The sequence below is a fragment of the Homo sapiens genome, chromosome 1 (genome assembly GCF_000001405.40).
Source record: "Homo sapiens chromosome 1, GRCh38.p14 Primary Assembly".
Taxonomy (NCBI): domain Eukaryota; kingdom Metazoa; phylum Chordata; class Mammalia; order Primates; family Hominidae; genus Homo; species Homo sapiens.
In genome coordinates this window covers 109,668,027-109,694,002 of record NC_000001.11, presented here as the reverse complement: position 1 = coordinate 109,694,002, position 25,976 = coordinate 109,668,027, and the positions used below count along the sequence as shown (strand labels likewise).

The window sequence follows — 25,976 nt, the reverse complement described above, 5'->3', positions numbered from 1 at the left end:
CAATACGGCTGGATGAATGAATGGGACATCCAGGCCAAGAAAGAGACATCCTTTCCACAGTGCCTCATGGGGCTTCCTGCTCTGAGTCTCTCAGGAATGGGAGCAAGAATTCTCAAGCGCCTTACTATGCCCAGCAGAATCCTTTAGAACCCAGCCACTGCCAGGATCACCAGCCAGTCCCTTGGAAGAGGCAGTGACAGACAGACAGACAGTCTGGGTAGATGGCCAGGAGCAAATAAGACAAGACACACAGCAAATGTGGTTGAGGCTTTACTTCCATCAGGTAGGCCTAAGGCAGGGACCATGCTGCAGGAGCAGGGCCTGTAAACCAGTCAATGCTGCTCCTTCATGCAACACGGGGACAGCTCGGGGCTGAGCTCCACAGGCGAGGGGCCAGGCAGGCCCTTTAAAGCAGACACAACCACTAACAGGAAGGAAGGTCAGGCTGGCTTTAGTGCAGGGAAGGGTAATGATGGGAGGGGATGTTCACGAAGGATAGTGGGTAGCTGAGGCTTCAAAGGGCCTGCATGGGACAGGGGTTTAGGGGGAGTGAAGAGGGACAATGAAGTCTTGGGAGTAAAGATGGGAATAAACAGGAGAAAGGAACGAGGAGGCAGGTGCTGGGATGCAGAGTCCAGCTGCGCTGCACAGCCTGGGCAGCAGGCTGAGTATGGGCTCCTCACTCCCACCTCCTGGCCTTCAAGGCCCTACTTGTTGCCCCAGACAGCCATCTTTGAGAACACAGGTCTTGGGAGGAAGCGGCTGGACTTCATGTAGGCAGAGATCTTCTCCAAGCCCTGAGAGGGGGGAAAATAAGGCCAGAACTCAAGGTCAGCTGCCCATGAGGGCTGGGACAACCCCACTGCAGACACAGCAGGTCAGGGCCCTGGCCACAGCCTTTCCATGTGGGCTCAAGTGCTGAGGCATCACACAGCTTCTTAGGGTCCCCAGATTTGCGGAGTTAACTCTTCCAACTTCCTTTAAGTAATGTTGTACCACAGTAACAGCTAACACTTATGAAGATTCTACACGGTGCTGGGTGCTCTGTACCCAAGAGAAATTACAACGTAAGCTTAGAAAACCCACTCGACTGCTCTGCAAGGCTGAATCTATTATCACCATTTCTCATGTGGGAAACAGAAGTTCAGCAACTTCCTTACATTTAAATACCTAGTAAGGGGAATAGAACTGCAGTGTAGCCTGGTTCTGTCTCTCTCCAGTTCTGGCCTCTTCCTGACAAATTCTCTTCTTCTTCTGCCCCACCACCCCTCACACCAGGCCCTGTCACTCCTTGACTGCACAAACAGTCTCCTTTTCCACAGGGAGGCTCTTGGCTTGTCTGGGTATAGAGACACAGAAGGGACCTCCAGCAGAACAAAGGGGCTCTGAACACACTCACCCAATGTCTCAGTAAAACCTGGATGAAAGTGGAATGGGGGGTGGCAGTGCACAAGAAAATCAAAGGCGAGACTAGGCTCTAAACATTCCCCTTAAAGCAGAAAGTCCAAAGTTCTCCATCTAATACCTGAGCAAAATCTCACTGTGCCCTAACCCATGGCATCTCCAGCCCTGCTGCAGATCAGGCTACATGATACTCAGATGTGCTGTGCACAATCTTACCAGGATTGAATGCCCAGATAAGGTATTCAAAAACATCCGGCTCACACCTGTAATCCCAGCACATTGGGAAGCCGAGGTGGGTGGATCACCCGAGGTCAGGAGTTCAAGACCACCCTGGCCAACATGGTGAAAGCCCATCTCTACTAAAAATAGAAAAATTAGCTGGGCGTGGTGATAGACACTTGTAATCCCAGCTACTCGGGAGGCTGAGGCAGAGAATTGTTTGAACCCGGGAGGCAGAGGTTGCAGTAAGCCGAGGTCACGCAACTGCACTCCAGCCTGGGCAACAGCAAGACACGATCTCAAAAAAAAAAAAAAAAAAAAGATCCAGGACTGCCTGTTCTCAAACTGATTGACCCTGGCATGTCATAGGCCATAGACCTCAGCTCTCCTCCACCCCTCCCTTCCCACCACCTCTTACATAACTCCAAGGCCACTAAGCCTGGACCAGAACCAGAGCTGATGGGAACTAGCTGAGCAAGCAGATTTCTTGATGGGAAAGGGAAACAGATTCTAGGCTCAGAAGCCCGTTGGACTAATGCCTCAAATTCCCAGATCTGTACTAAAGTAGGATTTGTGCTCTGAAACAAGATCAGCAAGGGTGAGGGATGGTTCCCCGTGAGTGAGGGGCAGGCCCCGGGCCTGGTACCCAGGTGGTGCCACACACACCTCACAGGCTGCTCTGCCTGCAGCCCTCTCACTGCACTCATTTCCAGGATGGGGCAGTCATCTATACATCTCCCACTGTGCCTCACTCCCTGCCTCATGCAGAGAAGGTCGGTGAATAGGAGTAAAATCAGCATGCTACTCATCTCACAGGGGGAACACGTGGAACACTGGAGGGAAAAAAGAGGAAGAGGAGTGGCTCATATCTGTAATCCCAGCACTGAGGGAGGCTGATGTGGGCAGATCACCTGAGGTCAGGAGTTCGAGACCAGCCTGACCAACATGGCAAAACCCCATCTCTACTAAAAATACAAAAATTAGCCAGACGTGGTGGTGCACACCTGTAATCCCAACTAATCGTGCAGCTGAGGCAGTAGAATCGCTTGAACCCAGGAGGCGGAGGTTGCAGTGAGCCAAGATCACTCCATTGAACTCCAGCCTGGGCAACAGAGCAAGACTCCAGCACAAAAAAAAAAAAAAAAAAAAAAAAAGAATAGAGGTGGAGTAAGGAAGTGCCCCAGCACCGGGCATTTCAACATATACTCCTTCAACAGGGACACCCACATATGTACCTTAATCCAGCTACAGCCACAGCCCTGGCTCTCAGGATTCCCCACACTGGGGTCCAATCATGCAAAGCTTCTGGAGGTAGCTATGAATATTGCCTGTGGGTTCAGTACTAGACATCAATGTCACCGTTGTGTCAGTCCTACTATTGCCAGCTCCATCTATGGTCATGAAGTTCTCTGCCTCTTCCAAAGTGTCCTGGGCTGTGAAACCCAGGCTAGGTGAAGCCTAAGGCTTTTTCTTCTGTCACAAATGGGAGAGCCCTGACTGCCACCCATAGATCCAGAGGCTCACAGGGAGCCCAGCACAGCCTCCACTAGCTCTGGGACCCTGAGCAAAGGACTGACCCTCTCATTCTTAGTTTCCTTATCTCTAAAATGGGCGAGATAATTCTGTTACCTTACTGGAATGTTATAAAATTCAAATTTCACACAATAGGTATAATGTGCTGGGCACGGTTCGTGGCATGAAACCAGTACTCAATACATGCGAGTTATTCTGTGTGTAGCTCCAGGACTGGGAAAACATCTGAAAGGAGGTAACGGAACAAGGGGCATCAAAGAGAAAGGAGGATGGGGGCATCACCTCAAAGCGGGAGATGAAGTCCTTCAGATTTGGGAAGGCGTCCAAGCACTTGGGCTCAAATATACGGTGGAGGTCAAGGACATCATAGACGAGAAAATCTACAAAAGTGATCTGCAGAAGGCCAAGAATATGTGGGCTGGAACCTCCATAACACGTGAAGCAAAACAGATCTCATTCCCCATATCACTCCTCCTTTACCTTGTTTCCTGCAAACCATGGCCGCTTCCCCAGAAACTCTGAGTAGAGCTTTAGCTTTTCAGGGAGTTCCTCCAAGTACTTTGGCTTCAGTTTCTCCTGAGGCAGAAAACAGCTGTCACCACCCTCGGACAAAAGCTCCCTGCACAGACGTGGCCTCCCCGGGGCTGTGGACGGCCCAGGCTGGCCATGGGCAAGCAGCCATCTTCCCCAAGCTGGAACTGGGGCAGTGCCCAGGCTTCAATTGGATACATCAGCATTTATTAGACTCTGACTGAGTGCCAGACCCTATCTAAACTGATCAGAAGGCAGAGAGGAATGAGATGCTGTCCCTGAATCTGTCCTCACTGACCTCCCAATAGCCTCTGGGTCAGCCCCAGGAGCGCCCAAGCACCTGGCAGCCTCTGGATCCAGACCAGCAGAATCAAGGATGCAAAGAACTAAGGGAGCTCAGGGAAAGTAGAAAGTTCCTTCTAATGGGGTGGCAGAAGAAAACAATGAACATTGACTAGTTTCCAGGGAGATGAGAAGTTCAAGTTGAAAGGAAGGAGGGAGAGGAATAAAGGCCCTCTGACTGCCTCTGAGCTGTCTGTTATGAAAATGCGCAGATCCCTGTGCATGTCAATGACAGCACTCAGAAAACTGTTGAGGAGAAGATGCAATTCGAGGGTGCCATTACATTCCTGAGTCTTCTACTTGAGTCTGCATATTCTAGGAGCAGGCAGGTGATGTGAACTGGCTGACAGAAATGACCCAGGACAGAAGTCAGAGGCCAGAGCTGATGAAGGAGATTCTGAACACAAACTTTACCATACAGGAACTGAATTTCTACCCTGGGATGCCTGGATCGTGTCCTAAGGTTGGTGGGAATTGCCTCTGCTTTTGTTGACATGACATTGGAGTCGTGAGAATAACTGCTGATAGTATGGGAAAGCACTTGGAGGATGAATGGTACCAGGGACTTAAGACCAGTGTGTGCAGGAATGCAAGAGTCCTGGCCCCAAATCCAAACTCTGTCAGATGCAGCTCACTGGGGACACTCACAAATTCTGGATTGTAGCAGATCATGCCCAGCTGCATATGGTTGTCCATGGTCTGGTTCTCCAAAATGTCCACACGAATCTTCTCCTCTTCTGTCTCCCCACCTGCCACCCACAAAACACAGACTCAATCTCAGCATCACAGCCCAGCCAAGGAGGAGGCCACCTTCCCCCCACACATTGCAGCCACCCACACTCACACAGGTTGTGCTTGCGGGCAATGTAGCACAAGATGGCGTTGCTCTGGGTGATCTTGTGAGCCCCATCAATCAAGTAGGGCAGCTGGATGGATGGGAAACCGGCGAAGCTCAGTTGGGCCACCAGGCTCCCCAGCATCCCCTTCCCATAAGCAAGAGCAGAGAGGAGACCGGGCACTCACTGTGCCTGCTCATGGCAGGACTGAAATAAGAATACTGTCACATGAACGAATGCAGGTGGACACAGAACATCATGGAAGGACTGTTTAGACAGCCAGGAGTGAGAGGAATTGGGCAGAAGACTCCTGATCTTAACACCTCTAAGCTGGGGAGAGGAGATGCAGTCAGAGACACGTTGCACTTTCCCCCAAAACCGCCCCTTCCCCTGCACCTACATTGGGAAAGTCCAGGCCCAGCTTGAATTTTTCATTCAGCCACTGGCTTCTGTCATAATCAGGAGCTGTGGTGGGGAAGAAGAAGTGAAAACAAACCTCCCCAGAGCCCAGCCCTCCTTCCCGGGGACCCTCCCACGGAGCCAGTGGCAAGATCCCTGAGACAGGTGGATCTAGAATCTGACCACTCAGTCCCACATCCCAGGGTTCAGGGACAAAGAATCCCGCTGAGGGCTCTGGACCCCACACAGCTAAGGCTTCCAGGGTTTAGGCAAGCCCTGAGGGACACCCGTCCCAATTAGACAGGGGGCCCAGCATCCCACCCCAGCATTCTGCCTTGCAAGGCCAGAGGGCTCCCTCACCGGGGCTCAGGGAAGAGACAGCCTGCAGCTCCAGCAGGGGAGGCCTGCAGAGGCAGCCACAGGTGGCCACCATGGGTTGCTTGGTGCCAACTTAGCGTGAGTGGGCAGAGCCCGAACACGAGGGTGCCATTACCGTCCCCCATCGTGTACTTCTTTTCCTCATAGCTTGAGTCTGTGTATTCCAGGAGCAGGCGGATGGCGTGGGCCAGCTGGGAGAGATGGCCCGCAGGTCGCGTCAGAGATGGAGGGTCCCTGACTTTGTCTGCACCAGGGAAGCCCCCAGTTTACACTGCACGTACCCGTTGCCTCCTCTACCCGCCCACACCCCCAACACACACACAGCGGCATGCACAGGCCCTTCTGAGGCGGGCAGCCCTGAAGAGGAACGGTCCCTAGAGTCCGTCCCGCAGCTGCTTCGCACTTCCCTCCCCTGCGCCCTCGTCCCACCGTCCAGCGGACCCTCGCTCACCCCGCGGATGTCCCAGTACCCCAGTATCATGGGCATGGTGCTGGTTGGTGCGGATTCCGCAGACAGGCCTAAACCGAGCAGGGCTCAGAGTATAAGAGCTCCGGAGAGGGGACAGGCGGGGCCTTGCTGCGACCCCGCCCCTCGGCCCGCCACAACCCGAAAGGCGCCATTCTGGAGGCCCGGGAGAGGGCGCCTGGGGCTGCACTCAGTAAGACTTCCTCCCGCCTCCCAGGCCCGAGGGTTCCGGGAGCGAAGTCAGGGCGCCCAGAAGCCCAAGGCGGGGCTCGGCCTCGCCAGCTTCCCTACCCAGCCCTGAGGCTCCACGAGTCCATCCAGCCCTTGCTAGGTCCACAGCGACTTGGCTGTGCGCTTGAGACACCAGCCAGATCCTAACGGAGCAAAGCTCTTCTCCCTTCTCCTCCCTGCCCGCGGTGTCCCTCAGCCTTCTCTCCGCTGCCGAGTTCCCAAGGGCTCTGGGAGACTCCGGCTGCAGGGGTCAGACTAAAAAGTGGTGGCCCCAACCTGGGAATTTAATTCAGCCCCTGTCACTGTAAGAGCAGGACTTCCTCTGATCCGAAAGCTACTCCCAGGGCTTAGTCTCCCCTCTAGCCCCGCCTACACAGGAACAGTGTCAGTGGTATAGGAAGGACCCCCAGGAAAAGGGCCAGAGTAAAGGAAATGTGGTCTGTGTTTTCTGTTAGGGGCCCTCGGGTACTGAGTCCTTCGGTCATCTGGCTAAGTACTGTGTAAATTAGCCACTTCGTATTTTGGCACAATTTATGAATCGAAATCCAAGGATCAGATCCAGCAAGTTGGTGAGGTATCTGAGGTGCCCCCTAGAAATGTCCAGCCAGTCCACTAGGTGAACCTCACAGAGACCGGAACAGCAACAGCAACAGTGAGTGCAGTGGCCACAGAGAGCAGGCGAGGGAGGATGGAAGAACTTCCCGGACCAAACTGAGGGTCCGGCTGCTATTTCTCTAGGCCCAATAACGAGATGCAGATCAAATGGGGAGGAAGAGAGGTTTTATTTCTGCAACCGGTAACAGGGAGAAGGCCTAGAAATTACCACCAGACCAACTCAATATTACAAAGTTTTCCAGAGCATATATACCTTCTAAGGTATATGTCTACAAGTAAGTGTGCATTCATCTAAAGACATAAGTGATTAACTTCTTTAATCTGTAACTGAGGTCTGGGTCCTGAGGACCTTATTCTGGAGCCTCAGTCTATTTATTTAATCTAAATGGGTCCAGGTGCGGGGGATGATTACCCTTATCTTGTCTCCTGCTAAATCACGGAGGTTTGGGGAGTTCCTTCAGACGCCCAATAAACTTGTTTGTGGAGGCCTGGGGAGTTTCTTCAGACTCACAATAAAACTTGTTTAATTCTAAATAGGTCCTGTTAAGAATTCCTTCATTGTTTTGTCATGCTTTAAGGCCCAGGAAAGGCCTAAGCAAAACTCTTGGTGGGCTTTTGTTACATCCAGCCTCTGTATAAAGGTACTGGCTTTTTTCAGCTTTTAATATTTAACTTCACCACTCAGTCAGTACTGAAACAGTTGTTATGGAGGCCTGTGTTAGTGACGCCTGGCCTGCCACAGAACCTGTCCCTCAGAGAAGCCAGAACCCTGTCCTGCTGAGGAGGGAGGTCAGAGGATGGTGGCCAGAGAGGAGCCTGAGGGCTCCCCACAGGACCACAGGCAGGGACCCTCCCCTCTCCAGATCCACCATTCCGGACCTGGACCTGGCTCCTGACCCATGTGTGTTCTTCAGTATGAGACGGTGGCTCCAGTGGCCTTTGAAGTCACACCGTGATATGTGACCCATGGTACAACCTCCACGAGAACAATGTCCAACCTGCCAACTTTCTTCTTTCAAGGTAGAAGGAAGACTTTCAAAAGAGTTGTGCAATGGATTAGCCTGGGGTTGACTGCTTTAAAGGATATTGCAAATAATAATGGACATATGGAAATAGATGATAGACCTTTAATGAGAAATCATTTTGCAATGTAAACCAGGCTGTTGTGCTGCAAAAAAAGTAGTTTTTTTGTTTTGTTTTGTTTTGTTTTGTTTTGTTTTGTTTTTTGTAAATTAGCTAAAACATTGTTAGGACTCCAGAGGATGAACCCAGTATATCAAAAAAGTTTCAAACCACCTGGATAATGTGTGGTTTGGGGTTGAGTAAACAGGTAGACTTCATCACATCCCTATTAGGCCACAGAAATCAGGTGGTCAGCAGGTGGCTGCTAAGTTGGGGCACTTGGACACTGTGTCACTGAGGCTGGCAAGGCACAGTCCTTGTTGCAAACACTCCCCGCCCATCCAGACCTGGGCAGTACTCCCAGCTCAGATACCTGGCAGGTATCCATGTTTAGGAAGCAGTTTTGGCCTCACAGTGAACTCTTACATAGATTTTCCTGCATTGAGGCAATAGCACCAGCACAGACACAAGTGCCTGGCCCTAGGAAACATTATATTTCTCATTATGCATTAAGAGTTTATGATTCTGAGTTAATCCGTCTTGAGCTGTGAAAGATAAGATGTCTAGATCCAATTGAAAAAAAAAACGATTTTTTAAGAAAGCTAACACTCATGAGAATAATAATTTTGAAACACATAGAACCAGTACTGTTACATTAGTATTGTTTGAAATACTTGTTCCTTGGTGCCATAAAGAAATAGCACTTGAACATAAATTTAATTTCCTCAGCAAGGCTATTGGGGAACCTGCCCCCAATATTTCAACGTAGGTTCTTTCTATTTTCCATAAGTGTCAGCCAGCTGAGAAATAAAGAGAAAGAGTACAAAGAGAAGAATTTTACAGCTGGGCCGCCAGGGGTGACATCACATATCGGTAGGACCATGATGCCTGCCCGAGCCTCAAAACCAGCAAGTTTTTATTAAGGATTGCAAAAGGGGTGGTGGTGTACGAACAGAGGGTAGGTACGAAGATCACATGCTTTAAAGGGCAAAAAGCAGAACAAAGATCACATGCTTCTGAGGAAACAGGACAAAGGCAAAAGTAGAACTCCTGATAAGGGTCTATGTTCAGTGGTGCACATATTGTCTTGATAAACATCTTAAACAACAGAACACAGGGTTCAAGAGCAGAGAACCAGTCTGACCACAAATTTGCCAGGGCCAGGTTTTTTCCCCACCTGAGGGTACTGCAGGAGACCGGGGTGTATTTCAGTCCTTATCTCAACTGCATAGGACAGTCATTCATTCCCAAAGCGGCTGTTTATAGACCTCCCCCCAGGAATGCATTCCTTTCCCAGAGTATTAATATTAATATTCCCTGCTAGGAAAAGAATTTAGCAATATCTTCCCTACTTGCATGTCCATTTATAGGCTCTCTGCAAGAAGAAAAACATGGCTCTATTTTGCCCGACCCTGCGGACAGTCAGACCTTATGGTTGTCTTCTCTTGTTCCCTAAAAATCGCTGTTATTCTGTTCTTTTTCAAGGTGCACTGATTTCATATTGTTCAAACACACATGTTTTACAATCAATTTGTACAGTTAACACAATTATCACAGTGGTCCTGAGGTGACCTATATCCTCAGCTTAAGAAGATAACAGGATTAAGAGATTAAAGTAAGGCAGGCATAAGAAATTATAAAAGTATTAATTTGGGAACTGATAAATGTCCATATTAAAATGAAATATTTGCAATTTATGTTCCTCTGCTGCAGCTCCAGCCGGTCCCTCCGTTCGGGGTCCCTGACTTCCTGCAACAAAGGCCATTTTTACTTTCTGCAGAAAGGGTACACTCGCCAGCAGTTTTACCACGAGAGTACACTGAACAAAGGAGAAAGGGTCATTTATAACTTGATGTGTCCACCCTACTGCTGTGTCCAGTTTCCACTGGCTGGAACGGGACCTCACATTCTGTATTTGTCCTGATTGGCTAGCAACTTAGAACTTTTTAAAAGAGGCAGAGGCAGAGGAGAACAAAGGAAGGGGGAACTCACTTGTGGAATGCTGAGTAAGGTAAAAACACCTTCAAATAAGGAAGAGGAACAGGCTATGACCTCATGCTTGTTTGGATCAGTATAAGCATGCCAGGGCAAGTATTTAGGCTAAATTGTGGGAGTTAAGAACATAAAGTACATTAATTTCTTTATTACAGCTAGCAGATATTTCAGAATATCAGCACCGGTCTTTGAATAAATTTTGCTTCTAAGAGAAGTTACGACTTATTCTTAATTAGATGGGGAGAAAAGTCTCTTTGAAGAGGAACCTCTACTTTACTTTTTACAGTATTAATATATTTGGTCATTCCTTTATTGAAACAACAATTGTCGAGATCCTACTACATTCCAGGCACTATGAATAAAATGATGCTTCAAGGACGCTGTATTTGCCCATCTCCAACTACATATCAGGTGGGAACTTCAGGGGAGAGATTTTGAAAATCAGGACACATCTTCGTGTTTTGGCACACTGAGAGGCAGTGGAGTGGGAGAGGGGTTGAGTGCAGGAGAGAGAAGTAGTGCCTGCTGTTGCAAGGACTCTGAGGAGCCAGGAAGAAGGCCAGGCCCCAGGTGGCTTCTTCAGAAGCAGGAGTAGAGCTCTGCGGAAGGCGGGAAGGACTGGACTAGCGGCTCTCCAAAGTAGCTGCCATAGTGGCCACAAGGATCACACCAGCGGGGAAAGTGGGTCTGTGGACGGGGATCAGGAGCAGCAGGGATGAGGGAAGCTGCAAGTGTTCAGAAGGAAGGGGTTGTAGCCAGTTGTCACCACACAGAAACTCAGTCCCGACAGGGCCTGGACTTCTGCATTTGTATGTGCTGTCTGAACTGCAAAATGTGGAAAAGTTCTAATTTTTAAAACAATGCTGTGCCAGACAGTCAAAATGCACTGGGTCCCACTTTACCAAGGGCCTGTAATGGGACCTCTGGACTGGAATTCATAATTCCTTCTGTCTCTTCTGACAACATTCTTACATTCTCAAGGCAAATTAACAGAAAATCTACCTAACATGTTGTCAGAATTTTAAAAACTAATCTATTAGAAACAAATACTGACAGACAAAATAAAATGTATCCTAATTCATGGAAATGTATTAAAGTCTCTTAAATATTGTTTGGGTAAACTTAGGAAATCTGAAATATAAAGAATCTTTTCTTCAATCTGAAAAGAAGAAAATAGAAATCACCATTTGAAGATGCTACCAAATTTGAATTGAGAAAACATTTTTCCAACATGCCTGTGATACCAAGAATAAGGCAAACAAACTAGAATTTCAAGAAAGTAGAACAGGCACAAAGTTAGAGATGGAAAAAGAAGTGGAAGCAATAAGTGACCTTAAGAGAAATATTGAAACTTTAACCAATTTGCTTGTTATATGTAATAGTTTATTCTGTTAAAAGTTAGGTAACTACACGCCTGTAATCCCCACACTTTGGGAGGCCAAGGCGGGCGGATCACGAGGTCAGGAGATCAAGACCATCCTGGCTAACATGGTGAAACCCTGTCTCCACTGACAATACAAAAAATTAGCTGGGCGTGGTGGCAGACACCTGTAGTCCCAGCTACTTGGGAGGCTGAGGCCGGAGAATGGCATGAACCAGGGAGGTGGAGCTTGCAGTGAGCCGAGATAGTGCCACTGGACTCCAGCCTGGGCGAAAGAGCGAGACTCCGTCTCAAAAACAAAAACAAAACAAAACAAAAAAAACTTAGGTAATTAACACAGCATTAGTACAACAAAAACAAAAAATATAATTATAAGTTAATACAAATCAGAACTAAGAAAGAAGATGTAGTACAAGTGATTTTTTAAATTGGGGAAACATTTTTCTAAACTCTATGTTAATTGATGTTACCACCAAGTGGAAGAAACACAAACAGGCCAAAACATGTTAAGAGATAAAGATTCTGAATGAAGTACAAAAAGCGTGATAAAGAAAAATAACAACACAAAAGGGCATTTTATCCTCAGCATTAGGCTGGATATGTTTTCAAAAATTTTGAAAATGGCATGGATGACACAGATTGTCATAAACTACAGACATGACCTAACATGGGAAGGACAACACAGGCAAGGATGATTATAAATCACTGTCACTTACCAGCCTGAATCCAAACATCAGGAATGCTACCTCAGAGAAAAGAAAATAGTGTTTTTCTTATAATGGTGTTGTGCTCATTCGGAGCTTGCTGGGGGAGACAGAGACAGAAAGGCGGGGGCAGGAGAAGGAGGGGCAGAGGGTACTCTGGGGGGCAGAAAGCCCATGTGGAAACATTAGTATCTAGGGTAATCAGAGTCGTTTCTAATCTTTCTACAATTTCTCAAACTCTGACGCTAGATCAATATAAAAAGGTAAACAAGAAAATTACATATACATATACTCATATTATTAGGTATTAATGATACTTATATTATTAACTTAAATAAATGTTCCATCAAAAAGGAATTAACTACATGAGCTACATTATGAATCTTTTTATTATTATTAATATTTTTAATGCTAGTATCCATCCAGCACACCACTGGATGTGATTCAAGTGAAGGTGATTTTGCCCCTCAGGGGACATGTAGGTCTGTCTGGAGACTTTGTTAATTGTAAACACCAGGAAGCGCCCGTGGTATTAGTGGGTAGAGGATGGGTAGGATGCTGAGCACCCTGCGATGCTCAGGACAGCGCCCCACAACAAAGAATTCTGCCCTCCAAATCTCTGTACGGCCGACCTTAAGAAACCCTAGTCTGTGATCCAGGACAGGGTCGAAAGCTGCAGTGGGAGAAACAAGGTCCTCGAAATTCTGGCTGGCAGGAAGCAGGCCAGAGGACCCACTTCCCTGGACACCAGCTGGCAGAAGGGAGGACCTAGAGACAATCTCAGCTGGTGCAGCCCATGCAGGCATCAAGCTGCACATCAGGAATCAGAGAAGGAGAATTGGGCAGGCAAACGGTCTACTAGGTGGACAGGCTGGGCAGCCTGGTCTTCCAGGGTACAGGGTAGGGAGTGGTGGGACTCTCTCTGCCAGTCAGACAGCAGGCCTCCCCTGCAGCTCTCAGCACATTGCTCCAGAGCCAGGCAGCCTGAGCCCAGCACCATCGGGTAATTCTTCTAGAGCTGCTGGGGCAAAGCTAGGCAGGATGAACTGAACTTATTTTCAAAAGGTATCCACCCTGACTGAGAAGGGTGTGTAGAAAGTTGCTACGAGTCACTGCCAACTTGTAATGGCTTGACTAGACCCTCCCTGCATTTAACACCCCCAGAGGGGTGGCCAAAAGTCAAATATATAATAAGCACCTGATGACTGCCACAGACATGGATATGAGTGATGCTAGTCACCAGACGCAGCCCCCTTCCCACTGCTCACCCACCCTTCCAAGCCTGCCAGAGACCCTCACCCAAAATGAATTAGCAAAATGTGCAAGCAGATGTTTTCATCTCTGGAGACTTTAAAACAATGATCATCAACACGGAGATTTACCAGGAAAGATAATATCTTCCCTCAAAATCTCCTTGGAGTTTACTGTGAGGCATCTCAGACAGTGCTTTCCATATAGAAAGAAACCCAGGTAATAGATATGCTGCAGCGTTTTATCTTGTGTTTGATTTTATAAAACTTACTTATTGATGATGGTGACCCACTTGTGTATTTTTTTTTTTTTTTTTGCTATGTGTACTAGTCAAGGTTCTTCAAAATTTGAAGTGACACCACTAAGATAAGCCTGTAGGAAATTTGTGTGTTTATTTACAAATTTATTTATCTCTTATGGGAATTGGCTCACACAATTTTGGAGTGAAGTCCCACAATCAGCTGGCTGCAGGACAGAGAAGCAGGAAAGCCAGCGGTATCATTCAGTGTGAGTCTAAAGGCCTCAGAACAAAGGTGGGGGTGGGAGGCGATGGTGTTAGTCCCTGATCAAGTCTGAAGGCCAGAGAACCAGGAGTGTGGAGGTCCCAGGATAGGCGGAGATGGATGTCCCAGTCAGAGATATCAAATGCACCCTTCCTCTGTCTTTTTCTCCTCTCTGGGCCCTGACAGTTTGGTGGATGCCTCCTTCATTTGCTGAGAGAAATCTTGGCTCAGTCTTCTGATTCAAAGGCGAATCACTTCTGGAAACACCCTCACAAACACAATAATTTTACCAGCCATCTGAGCATCCCTTAGCCCAGTCAAGTTGACACAGAAAACTAACTAACCATCACATTATGCCACAGGAAACCAAGAACAAAATCACAATTAATTACATTGTGCCTATGGGAGAAAAAGCCTTGACTGCCACAAGATCATTCTTTAAGCTTTCTCCAGGAGTTGACTAAGCCACCAGTAGAGAATGGGTAGAGAGTTTTATACAGGAGATTCACAAACAAGTAGATTCATAGACTGTGATTCATTGGCAGAAACATGCACAACCAATAAACAAAAAAGGTGAAGGTAGAAAACTTGAAGGTATTCTTTTTTTCTTTTTTTGAGATGGAATCTCACTCTGTCACCCAAGCTGGAGTGCAGTGTGCAATGGCACGATCTTGGCTCACTGCAACCTCTGCCTCCCAGGTTGAAGTGATTCTTGTGCCTCAGCCTCCTGAATAGCTGGGATTACAGGTGCCCACCACCATGCCCGGCTAATTTTTGTATTTTTAGTAGAGACAGGGTTTCACCATATTGGCTAGGCTGGTCTCAAACTCCTGACCTCAAGTGATCCACCCGCCTCGGCCTCCCAAAGTGCTGGGAATACAGGCATGAGCCACCATGCCCAGCCAGAAAATGTGAAGGTGTTCTTATTAAAAAAAAAAAATCATAAGATGAAATCGCGATCTCCTAAGTGTCTAAAATAGTGCAGAATGATCCGTGTACCTTGCTGGTGGCACCATAAATTAAGTTATTGTCTCTGGAGAGCAATGAAATTATCTGTTGTAATACCATTAAACCAGTCTCATCCTTTACCTTGTAGTAAGCGCTTTGGGGATCTACTCAAAGTCACCAAAAACGGGAAAGAATTAGTCAAAACATGATCACCCTGCTCTAAAAACAAATAAATAAGTTAGAAAAATCTACACATGCCATAGCATAAGAATGACTAGGCAAAATATAGTTTATCCACAGGAACTAATATGAGATAGCCATCAATATTAGAAGTAGGCATGCATATAGACTGCCAACATATACAGTTTGTTTTTTTTTTTTTTTTGAGAGGGAGTCTTGTTCTGTTGCCCAGGCTGGAGAGGAGTGGCATGATCTTGGCTCACTGCAGCCTCTGCCTCCTGAGTTCAAGCAATTGTCCTGCCTCAGCCTCTTGAGTAGCTGGGACTACAGGCAAGCTCCACCACGCCCAAAAATACAAAAAAAAATAATTTTGATATTTTTAGTAGAGATGTGGTCTCACCGTGTACAAGCCAGGATGGTCTCGATCTCCTGACCTCGTGATCTGCCCCCTCGGCCTCCCAAAGTGCCGGGATCACACTCATGAGCCACTGCGCCCAGCCCATATACAGATTTTTAAGTAAAATGTTAGGCCAGGAGTGGTGGCTCACACCTGTAATCCCAGCACTTTGAGGGGTAGAGGTGGGTGGATAACTTGAGGCCCGGAGTTTGAGACCAGCCTGGCCATCATGGCAAAACCTCATCTCTACTAAAAATACAAAAATTAGCCAGGTGTATGCCTGTAGTCCCAGCTACTCAGGAGGCTGAGGCAAGAGAATCGCTTGAACCCAGGAGGCAGAGGTTGCAGTGAGCTGAGATTGCACCACTGTGCTCCAGTCTGGGCAACAGAGTGAGCCTCTGTCTCAAAAAAAAGAAGTAAAATGTTAAAGAGAAAAAACTGTAGAATCTAAGAGTAAACACGCACACCAGTCTCACCTATCTGAAGAAGTAGGCATGAATAAAAATCTAAAGAGAATTTGAAATGACACCATTAAGATGAACGTATAATTTGCTTAATAATTGTTCAGTGAGCACCTACTATGCTCAGGGACTGTCCTAGGCGATATGCAAACACCTGTTACATCAGTGAACAAGAAGAGAGAAAAACACATGCCCTTATGATGTTGATATCTTATGAGGGAAAGCAAACACAAGCACACAAATAATGTGCATGCTTTTAACTGAAGTGTAATACACATGCAGTGCACAGGCCTTAATGCATGCTTTTCATTGAAGTGTAAGATACATACAGTGGACAGGCCTTAAGTGTGCTACTCTGTGGGCTTTTCCACTTGTGTACTCTTCTGGAATCACCTCCCAGATAAAGAGAGAAAACTTACAGCACTCCACCAGGCCCCTTCAATAGGCAACCTTCCAGTTCTCACAAAGTTCACCAATCATCTGACCTCTGATACCATGGAATCATTTCCCTCTCCTGATTTTCGTGTAAGTGGAATGAGATTGTGTGTCCTTTCTCCTGTCTGGATCCTTTTACTCAATACGTCTGTGAGGCCCATCCATGTTTTTGCACATAGCGTTAGCATGTTTATTTTCATTATACCAGAGTAAGTATTCCATTATATGAATGATGGAATTATGTTGATAAACCACAGTTCATTTGTTCATGGAATTTGGATTGTTTTCAGTTATTGGCTATTTAAAATAAAGCTGCTTTTGGCATCACTACACCTGGTTCTTGGAATCCATTAGGACTCATTCCTGTAGGGTGGGATTTCTGGGTCCTGGGTAGATGTAGGTTTAGCTCTAGTTGACAGTGCCAGTATTCCAAAGTGGCTTTCCCACCAGCAATGCATGACAGTTCCAGTTACTCCATAAATCACCAACAATTGTCGGTCCTTTCAATGTCAGCCATTCTAGTGGGGATACAGTAGGATCTTAGGGGTTTTTAACTTTCTGCTGTCTAATGATGTTGAGCACCTTCTCATGAGCTTAGTGGCCATGTGGATATTCACTTTTGGGAAATGCTTGTTGAAATTCTGACTCATTTTTTAATGAGTTGTATTTTCGGATATATAGTTTTTGGAGAAGAGACCTTTGTTGATTTGTAACAAGATCTCCCTGCTGAGCCTTGCGTGAATACATGACCCACAGACTCAACAGCTATTTCTGGTATCACAGCTTAGGAACTGCTAAGCTATGAGAATCTTCCTCTGAAGCAGTTCACTCTCCAGTGAGATTTTAAGTTACTTCAACAAGAGGCAATGCAGATTGCTGTCAGGGTGGAGGAAGCCTATGCTTAGCATGTTCCTGCAAGGATGTGAATCAAGAAGAGATCAACCTGTAGATCCCCACACAGCCTTTGGAATTATAGACCTCAGAATGACAAACAGAAAAAGCGTAAAAAAGCAAAAGATATAGCCAGGCAGAGTGGCTCACGCATGTAATTCCAGAACTTTGGGAAGCCGAGGTGGGTGGATCACGAGGTCAGGAGTTCGAGACCAGCATGGCCAACATGGTGAAAACCCGTCTCTAAAACAAAAATACAAAAATCGGCTGGGCACAGTGTGCACGCCTGTAGTCCCAGCTACTCGGGAGGCTGAGGAAGGAGAATTGTTTGAACCCAGGAAGGGGAGGTTGCAGTGAGACGAGATCACACCACCACACTCCAGCCTAGGCGACAGAGTAATACTTCCTCTCAAAATAACAACAATAATAATAATTTTTAAAAAGCAAAGGATGCAGTCAGACTGGCATCGACCTACTCACCAGAAATGCTCAATTCTAGAAAAAAGTGAATAAATCTATTAGAAGTCTGAAGGTTTTCATCATAGAATTCTATCCCCAGCTGATATGGTTTGGCTGTGTCCCCACCCACATCTTACCTTGAATTGTAATAATCCCCAGGTGTCAAGGGTGGGGGCCGGGTGCAGAAAACTCCATCATGGGGGCAGTTTCCCCCATACTGTTCTCACGGTAGTGAATAAGTCTCACAAGATCTGATGGTTTTATAAGTGGGAGTTCCCCTGCACACGCCCTCTTGCCTGCTGCCATGTAAGACATTACTTTGGTCCTCATTCGCCTTCTGCCATGGTTATGAGGCCTCCCAGGCCCTGTGGAACTGTGAGTCCTTTAAACCTCTTTCCTTTATCAATTACCCAGTCTCGGGTATGTCTCTATTAGCAGCGTGAGAACAGACTAAATCCTCAGCCAGAGTATTCAGTAAGCATGTAAAGGCACTTTCAGTTATGCAAGGACTAAAGACATTTCTCTCACAGGTACCCAGGAAAGAGAGGAAGTAAACCCAGAGAGAACGTCCTGATGACAGCTGTGCAGCAAGCCTGGAGAGGGTACCTGGAAGCCATCTGAGAAAAACAATAGAGATTGGGTCCTGGAGACCTAACAGAAGTGATGCAGTCATATAGTGGAGAAGGTAAAAGGGACCCTGGTTCTCTCTGATGGAGATTCCACCCCCTTGGGGTCCTATTCAATGAGACACAAGCTCTGTGCAATTATGGAAAGTACTCAATACGGCTGGATGAATGAATGGGAGATCCAGGCCAAGAAAGAGACATCCTTTCCACAGTGCCTCATGGGGCTTCCTGCTCTGAGTCTCTCAGGAATGGGAGCAAGAATTCTCAAGCGCCTTACTATGCCCAGCAGAATCCTTTAGAACCCAGCCACTGCCAGGATCACCAGCCAGTCCCTTGGAAGAGGCAGTGACAGACAGACAGACAGTCTGGGTAGATGGCCAGGAGCAAATAAGACAAGACACACAGCAAATGTGGTTGAGGCTTTACTTCCATCAGGTAGGCCTAAGGCAGGGACCATGCTGCAGGAGCAGGGCCTGTAAACCAGTCAATGCTGCTCCTTCATGCAACACGGGGACAGCTCGGGGCTGAGCTCCACAGGCGAGGGGCCAGGCAGGCCCTTTAAAGCAGACACAACCACTAACAGGAAGGAAGGTCAGGCTGGCTTTAGTGCAGGGAAGGGTAATGATGGGAGGGGATGTTCACGAAGGATAGTGGGTAGCTGAGGCTTCAAAGGGCCTGCATGGGACAGGGGTTTAGGGGGAGTGAAGAGGGACAATGAAGTCTTGGGAGTAAAGATGGGAATAAACAGGAGAAAGGAACGAGGAGGCAGGTGCTGGGATGCAGAGTCCAGCTGCGCTGCACAGCCTGGGCAGCAGGCTGAGTATGGGCTCCTCACTCCCACCTCCTGGCCTTCAAGGCCCTACTTGTTGCCCCAGACAGCCATCTTTGTGAACACAGGTCTTGGGAGGAAGCGGCTGGACTTCATGTAGGCAGAGATCTTCTCCAAGCCCTGAGAGGGGGGAAAATAAGGCCAGAACTCAAGGTCAGCTGCCCATGAGGGCTGGCACAACCCCACTGCAGACACAGCAGGTCAGGGCCCTGGCCACAGCCTTTCCATGTGGGCTCAAGTGCTGAGGCATCACACAGCTTCTTAGGGTCCCCAGATCTGCGGAGTTAACTCTTCCAACTTCCTTTAAGTAATGTTGTACCACAGTAACAGCTAACACTTATGAAGATTCTACACGGTGCTGGGTGCTCTGTACCCAAGAGAAATTACAACGTAAGCTTAGAAAACCCACTCGACTACTCTGCAAGGCTGAATCTATTATCACCATTTGTCATGTGGGAAACAGAAGTTCAGCAACTTCCTTACATTTAAATACCTAGTAAGGGGAATAGAACTTCAATGTAGCCTGGTTCTGTCTCTCTCCAGTTCTGGCCTCTTTCTGCCAAATTCTCTTCTTCTTCTGCCCCACCACCCCTCACACCAGGCCCTGTCACTCCTTGACTGCACAAACAGTCTCCTTTTCCACAGGGAGGCTCTTGGCTTGTCTGGGTATAGAGACACAGAAGGGACCTCCAGCAGAACAAAGGGGCTCTGAACACACTCACCCAATGTCTCAGTAAAACCTGGATGAAAGTGGAATGGGGAGTGGCAGTGCACAAGAAAATCAAAGGCGAGACTAGGCTCTAATCATTCCCCTTAAAGCAGAAAGTCCAAGGTTCTCCATCTGGTATCTTAGCAAAATCTCACTGTGCCCTAACCCATGGCATCTCCAGCCCTGCTGCAGATCAGGCTACATGACACTCAGATGTGCTGTGCACAATCTTACCAGGATTGAATGCCCAGATAAGGTATTCAAAAACATCCGGCTCACACCTGTAATCCCAGCACTTTGGAAGGCCGAGACGAGTGGATCACCTGAGGTCAAGAGTTGGAGACCAGCCTGGCCAACATGGTGAAAACCCATCTCTACTAAAAATACAAAAATTAGCTGGTCATGGTGGCGGGCACCTGTAATCCCAGCTACTTGGTAGGCTGAGGCAGAGAATTGCTTGAACCCAGGAAGCGGAGGTTGCAGTGAGCCAAGATCGCACCAATGCACTCCAGCCTGGGTGACAGGCTTGACCCTGGCACATAACGGGCCATAGCTCTCAGCTCTCCTCCATCCCTCCCTTCCCACCACCTCTTACCTAACTCCAAGGCCACTCAGCCTGGACCAGAACCGCAGAACCAGAGCTGATGGGAACTAGCTGAGCAAGCAGATCTCTTGATGGGGAGTGGAAAAGGGAAACAGATTCAAGGCTCAGAAGCCTGTTGGACAAATGCCTCAAATCCCCAAATCTGTAGTAATGTAGGATTTGCTGCTCTCAAACAAGTTCAGCACACACTTCACAGGCTGCTCTGCCTGCAGGCCTCTCACTGCACTCATTTCCAGGATGGGGCTGTCATCTATGCATCTCCCACTGTGCCTCACACCCTGCCTCATGCAGAGGAGAAGGTCAGTGAACAGGAGTAAAATCAGCGTGCTACTCATCTCACAGGGGGAACACCTGGAACATTGGAGGGAAAAAAAGAGAGGAAGAGGCCAGGCGCGGTGGCTCACGCTTGTAATCCCAGCACTTAGGGAGGCTGAGGTGGGTGGATCACCTGAGGTCAGGAGTTTGAGACCAGCCTGGCCAACATAGCAAAACCCCATCTCTACTAAAAATACAAAAATTAGCTGGACGTGGTGGTACACACCTGTAATCCCAGCTACTCAAGAGGCTGAGGCAGGAGAATCACTTGAACCCAGGAGACAGAGGTTGCAGTGAGCCGAGATTGCTCCACTGCACTCCGGCCTGGGTGACAGAGCAAGACTCCGTCTCAAAAAAAAAAAAAAAAAAAGAGGTAGAGAAGGAAAGTGCTCCAGCACAGGGCATTTCAGCATAAGCTCCTTCAACAGGGGCACCCACATATGTACCTTAATCCAGCTCCAGCCACAGCCCTGGCTCTCAGGATTCCCCACATGGGGGTTCAATCATACAAAGTTTCTGGGTGTAGCTGTGAATACTGCCTGTGGGTTCAGTATTGAACATCAATGCTACTGTGTGTCAGTCCTACTATTGCCAGCTGCATCCGTGGTCCTGAAGTGCTCTGCCTCTTCCAAAGTGTCCTGGGCTATGAAACCCAGGCTGGACAAGGCCTGAGGCTTTTCTTTTGTCACAAAACGGAGAGCCCTGACTGCCAACCATAGATCCAGAGGCTCGCAGGGAGCCCAGCACAGCCTCCACTGGCTCTGGGACCCTGAGCAAAGGACTGACCCTCTCATTCTCAGTTTCTTTGTCTCTAAAATGGGGGAGATAATTCTACCACCCTGTAGGAATGTTGTAAATTTCAAATTCAACACAATAGGTATAATGTGCTGGGTACAGTTCGTGGCATGAAGCCAGCACTCAATAAATGCAAGTTATTCTTTTCTTCTTTTTTTTGTTTGAGATGGAGTTTCACTCTTGTTGCCCAGGCTGGGGTGCAATGGCACGATCTTGGCTCACCGCAACCTCCGCCTCCCAGGTTCAAGAGATTCTCCTGCCTCAGCCTCCCTAGTAGCTGGGATTATAGGCATGTGCCACCACGCCCAGCTAATTTTGTATTTTTAGTAGAGACAGGGGTCTCACCATGTTGGTCAGGCTGGTCTCGAACTCCCGACCTCAGGTGATCCACCCAACTCGGCCTCCCAAAATGCTGGGATTACAAGTGTGAGCCACCATGCCCGGCTCCTTTTTTTTTTTTTTTTTTTTTTCTTGAGATGGAGTCACACTCTGTCATACAGGCTGGAATGCAGTGGCACGATCTTGGCTCACTGCAACTTCCACCTCCCAGGTTCAAGTGATTCTCCTGCCTCAGCCTCCCAAGTAGCTGGGATTACAGGTGCTCGCCACCACGCCCAGCTAATTTTTGTATTTTTTTTTAGTAAAGATGGGGTTTTGCCATGTTGGGCAGGCAGGTATCAAACTCCTAACCACAGGTGATCTGCCTCCCTCAGCCTCCAAAGCGCTGAGATTACAGGCGTGAGCCACCGCACATGGCCAAAAATGTGAGTTATTCTTTGTGTAGCTCCAGGACTGGGAAAGCATCACAAAGGAGGGAAAGGAATAAGAGACATAAAGAGAAAGGAGGCTGGGGGCATCACCTCAAATCGGGAGATGAAGTCCTTCAGGTTTGGGAAGGCATCCAGGCAGCTGGGCTCAAATACTTGGTTTCTCTCAAGGACATCATAAGCGATGAAATCCACAAAGGTGATCTGGATAAGGCCAAGGATATGTGGGCTGAAACCTCCATAATATAGGAAGTATGACAAATCTGTGGTGTCCCCATCACACGCCCCCATTACCTTGTCCCCAAGAAACCATGGCTGCTTCCCCAGAAACTGTGAGTAGAGCTTCAGCATTTCAGGGAGTGCCTGCAGGTATTCTGGTTTCAGTTTCTCCTGAGGCAGAAAACAGCTGTCAACACCCTCAGACACAAGCTCCCTGCACAGATGCGGCCTCCCAGTTTTGTGCATGGCCCCAGCTGGCCGCGGGCAAGCAGTCATCTTCCCCACAGCTGGAACTGGGTCACTGTCCAGGCTTCAGCTGGATACATCAGCATTTATTAGACTCCAACTGGGTAGCTGGAGTCTTTCTGAGGTGATGGGATGGCAGAGCGGAATGTGACACTGTCCCTAAATCTGTCCCCACTGACCTCCCAACAACCTCTGGGTCAGCCCCAGGAGCACCTGAGCACCTGGTAGGCTCTGGACCAGATATGAGCAGAATCAAGGATGCAAAGAACTAAAGGAGCTCAGAGAAAGAAGTAGAAATTTCCTCCTAGTTGGGCAGCAGTAGAATACAATGGACATTGAGTGGTTTCTGGAAAGATGAGGAGATATTCAGAGGATAAGTGGAAGAAAGGAGGGGGAAAAAGAGCCTCTGGCTGCCCCTAAGCTGTCTGTTAGGAAAATTCGCTGATCTCAGTGTATGTCAAGAGAGCACTCGGAAGACACCAAAATTTCAGGTGCCATTACTCCTTTGTTTTGCACTTGTTTTCCTCATAGTTTGTGTATTCCTAAAGCAGGCAGATGATATAAACCACTGGGAGAGATGGCCCAAAGCACAGGTCATGGGTCAGAGATGGAAGGGATTCTGGAAGTAACCATTACTGTCTAGAGAGTGAATTCATACCCTGGGGAGTCAGGATTCTATAAGTAGATTGGTGGGGAATTGATTTAGAGGTTTTATTTGACACGACTTTGGGGTTTGAGGGTCACTCTGGTGGCAGTATAGGAAATAGCTTGAAGGATGAGTAGCACTAAAGAGTTCAAACAGAAAACAGGACCCGTGTATTTGGCAGGACCACAGTCTTGGCTCCTGATCAAAATGAGAGGTGAAGCTGGCTGGGCTTCTGGGTCAGGTGAGGACTTGGAGAACTTTTCTGCCTAGCCAAAGGATTGTAAATGCACAAATCAGCGCTCTGTGTCTAGCTAAAGGTTTGTAAACGCACCAATCAGCACTCTGTAAAAACAGACCAATCAGCACTCTGTAAAACGGACCAATCAGCACTCTGTAAAATGGACCAATCAGCTCTCTGTAAAATGGACCAATCTGCATGTGGGTGGGGCCAAATAAGGGATTTCCCCCCCCACCTCCGCCCTTCCCAAGCAGCAGTAGCAACCTGCTCAGGTTGTCTTCCAGGCTGTGGAAGTGTATTTTCTTTCACTCGTCACCATAAATCCTGCTGTTGCTCACTCTTTGGGTTTGAACTACCTTTATGAGCTATAACATTCACTATGAAGGTCTGCAGCTTCACTCCTGAAGCCAGCCAGACCATGAACCCACCAAGAGGAATAAACAACTCCAGACGCGCCACCTTTAAGAGCTGTAGCACTCACTGCGAAGGTCTGCGGCTTCACCCCTGAAGTCAGCAAGACCACAAACCCACCGGAAGGAAGAAACTGCGGACACATCTGAACATCTGAAGGAACAAACTCCGGACACACCATCTTTAAGAACTGTAACACTCACCGTGTAGGACCGCGGCTTCATTCTTAGAGTCAGCAAGACCAAGAACTCACCAGAAGGAATCAATTTTGGACACAAACTCTGCAGGGAAAGGGGAGACTGGGAGTAGGGAAGGGGAGACTGGGAGTGGGGTGGGGGGACTTACAAAATCTGGGTCATAGCAGAGTTTGGCCAGCTGCATACGGCTGTCCATAAACTGGTTCTCCAAAATGTCTTCGCGAATCTGCTCCTTTTCTGATTCCCCGCCTACCCTCGTAAAGCAGATTCACTCTCAGCCTCACAGCCCAGCCAAGCCGAGGAGGAGGCCACGGTCCCTCCCCGCATCTTGCAACCAAATCTACTCACACAGGTTGTGCTTGCGGGCAATGTACCGCAGGATGGCGTTGCTCTGGGTGATCTTGTGAGTCCCATCAATCAAGTAGGGCAGCTGGATAGATGGGAAACCGGGGAAGCTCAGTTGGGCCACCAGGCTCCCCAGCATCCCCTTCCCATATGCAAGGGCAAAGAGGAGACCAGGGCCTGCTCATGGCAGGCCTGAGATAGAAATACTGTCACACTAATAAATGAGCTGGGACACAGAACATCATGCAAGGGCTGTGTAGACAGCCAAGAGTGAGAGGAATTGGGCAGAAGACTCCTGATCTTAACACCTCTAAGCTGGGGAGAGGAGATGCAGTCAGAGACACGTCGCACTTTCCCCCAAAACCGCCCCTTCCCCTGCACCTACATTGGGAAAGTCCAGGCCCAGCTTGAATTTTTCATTCAGCCACTGGCTTCTGTCATAATCAGGAGCTGTGGTGGGGAAGATGAAGTGAAAACAAACCTCCCCAAAGCCCAGCCCTCCTTCCTGGGGACCCTCCCAAGGAGCCAGTGGCAAGACCCCTGAGACAGGTGGATCTAGAATCTGACCACTCAGTCCCACATCCCAGGATTCAGAGAAAAAGAATTCCAGTGAGGGCTCTGGACCCCACACAGCTAAGGCTTCCAGGGTTTAGGCAAGCCCTGAGGGACACCCATCATAATTACCCAGACGGGGGCCCAGCATCCCGCCCCAGCATTCTGCCTTGCAAGGAGCTCCCTCACCAGGGCTCAGGGAAGGGACAGCCTGCAGTTCCAGCAAGGGAGGCCTGCAGAGTCAGCCACAGGTGGCCACTATCGGTTGCTTGGTGCCAACTTAGTGTGAGGGGGCAGGGCCCAGACTCGAGGGTGCCATTACCGTCCCCCATCGTGTACTTCTTTTCCTCGTAGCTTGAGTCTGTGTATTCCAGGAGCAGGCGGATGGAATGGGCCAGCTGGGAGAGATGGCCCACAGCTCGGGTCAGAGATGGAGGGTCCCTGACTTTGTGACGACTCTGCACAAGGGGAGCCCCATCTCCTCCTCTCGTTCCTGCCTCACCCGCCCCCACCCCGCACGCCCAGCCACACGCACAGACAGCGGCAAGCACAGACCCCGCTGTCAGGGACAGCCCTGAAGAGGAACCGTCCCTAGAGCCCGTCCTGCAGCTGCTCCACACTTCCCCGCCCCCACGCACCCCCGTCCCACCGCCCAGCGGACCCTGGCTCACCCCGCGGATGTTCCAGTACCCCAGTGTCATGGGCATGGTGCTGGTTGCTGTGGATTCTGCAGACAGGCCTCAGCGGGGCGGGGCTCAGCGTTTGTGAGAGGCCCAGAGAGGGTAGAGGGGAAGCC

The 25,976-nt window shown here is 48.5% G+C and overlaps 2 protein-coding genes across 7 annotated transcripts, besides 3 other annotated features; both read right to left on the bottom strand.

Moving 5' to 3' along the window:
- Window positions 258–6,186, bottom strand: GSTM1 (glutathione S-transferase mu 1). Of its 3 annotated transcripts, none has more exons than XM_005270782.6 (8): window positions 6,094–6,186; window positions 5,758–5,886; window positions 5,266–5,330; window positions 4,874–4,955; window positions 4,678–4,778; window positions 3,637–3,732; window positions 3,439–3,549; window positions 258–797 (listed from the first exon to the last, which is right to left on the bottom strand). In XM_005270782.6, the coding sequence occupies exons 2-8, from the start codon at window positions 5,765–5,767 to the stop codon at window positions 708–710; spliced, it is 555 nt and encodes a 184-aa protein (XP_005270839.1). In that variant the 5' UTR covers window positions 5,768–5,886; window positions 6,094–6,186; the 3' UTR covers window positions 258–707. The 3 variants fall into 3 exon arrangements, with proteins under 3 accessions (XP_005270839.1, NP_000552.2, NP_666533.1); NM_000561.4 differs by having other exon boundaries at window positions 5,758–5,833; NM_146421.3 differs by lacking the exon at window positions 3,439–3,549 and having other exon boundaries at window positions 5,758–5,833.
- Window positions 6,087–6,136: an enhancer, noted in NCBI's record as "active region_1451". NCBI's record gives its function as "activates an Ori minimal core promoter by ATAC-STARR-seq in GM12878 lymphoblastoid cells {active_cell/tissue: GM12878}" and the evidence as "EXISTENCE:reporter gene assay evidence [ECO:0000049][PMID:35858748]".
- GSTM2 (glutathione S-transferase mu 2) lies at window positions 10,006–25,946 on the bottom strand. 4 transcript variants are annotated; one of them, NM_001142368.2, is made up of 9 exons: window positions 25,852–25,946; window positions 25,503–25,578; window positions 25,014–25,078; window positions 24,632–24,713; window positions 24,432–24,532; window positions 22,621–22,716; window positions 22,420–22,530; window positions 12,169–12,194; window positions 10,006–10,796 (listed from the first exon to the last, which is right to left on the bottom strand). In NM_001142368.2, the coding sequence occupies exons 1-8, from the start codon at window positions 25,885–25,887 to the stop codon at window positions 12,186–12,188; spliced, it is 576 nt and encodes a 191-aa protein (NP_001135840.1). In that variant the 5' UTR covers window positions 25,888–25,946; the 3' UTR covers window positions 10,006–10,796; window positions 12,169–12,185. The 4 variants fall into 4 exon arrangements, 2 of the variants coding, with proteins under 2 accessions (NP_001135840.1, NP_000839.1); NM_000848.4 differs by lacking the exons at window positions 10,006–10,796; window positions 12,169–12,194 and adding an exon at window positions 18,717–19,256; XR_007059237.1 differs by lacking the exons at window positions 10,006–10,796; window positions 12,169–12,194; window positions 22,420–22,530 and adding an exon at window positions 23,818–23,852 and having other exon boundaries at window positions 22,628–22,716; window positions 23,940–24,532.
- Window positions 24,080–24,179: an enhancer, noted in NCBI's record as "active region_1450". NCBI's record gives its function as "activates an Ori minimal core promoter by ATAC-STARR-seq in GM12878 lymphoblastoid cells {active_cell/tissue: GM12878}" and the evidence as "EXISTENCE:reporter gene assay evidence [ECO:0000049][PMID:35858748]".
- Window positions 25,695–25,864: a silencer, noted in NCBI's record as "silent region_1157". NCBI's record gives its function as "represses an Ori minimal core promoter by ATAC-STARR-seq in GM12878 lymphoblastoid cells {active_cell/tissue: GM12878}" and the evidence as "EXISTENCE:reporter gene assay evidence [ECO:0000049][PMID:35858748]".

Coding starts and splice junctions, on each gene's coding strand:
- GSTM1 (NM_000561.4), bottom strand. CDS start 6,129: ATGCCCATGATACTGGGGTACTGGGACATCCGCGGG. Junction 5,834..6,093: donor GGTACTGGGACATCCGCGGG/GTGAGCGAGGGT, acceptor CATCTCTCCCAG/CTGGCCCACGCCATCCGCCT. Junction 3,550..3,636: donor CATGGTTTGCAGGAAACAAG/GTAAAGGAGGAG, acceptor GGCCTTCTGCAG/ATCACTTTTGTAGATTTTCT.
- GSTM2 (NM_000848.4), bottom strand. CDS start 25,887: ATGCCCATGACACTGGGGTACTGGAACATCCGCGGG. Junction 24,714..25,013: donor TGGGCCTGGACTTTCCCAAT/GTAGGTGCAGGG, acceptor CCATCTATCCAG/CTGCCCTACTTGATTGATGG. Junction 22,531..22,620: donor CATGGTTTCTTGGGGACAAG/GTAATGGGGGCG, acceptor GGCCTTATCCAG/ATCACCTTTGTGGATTTCAT.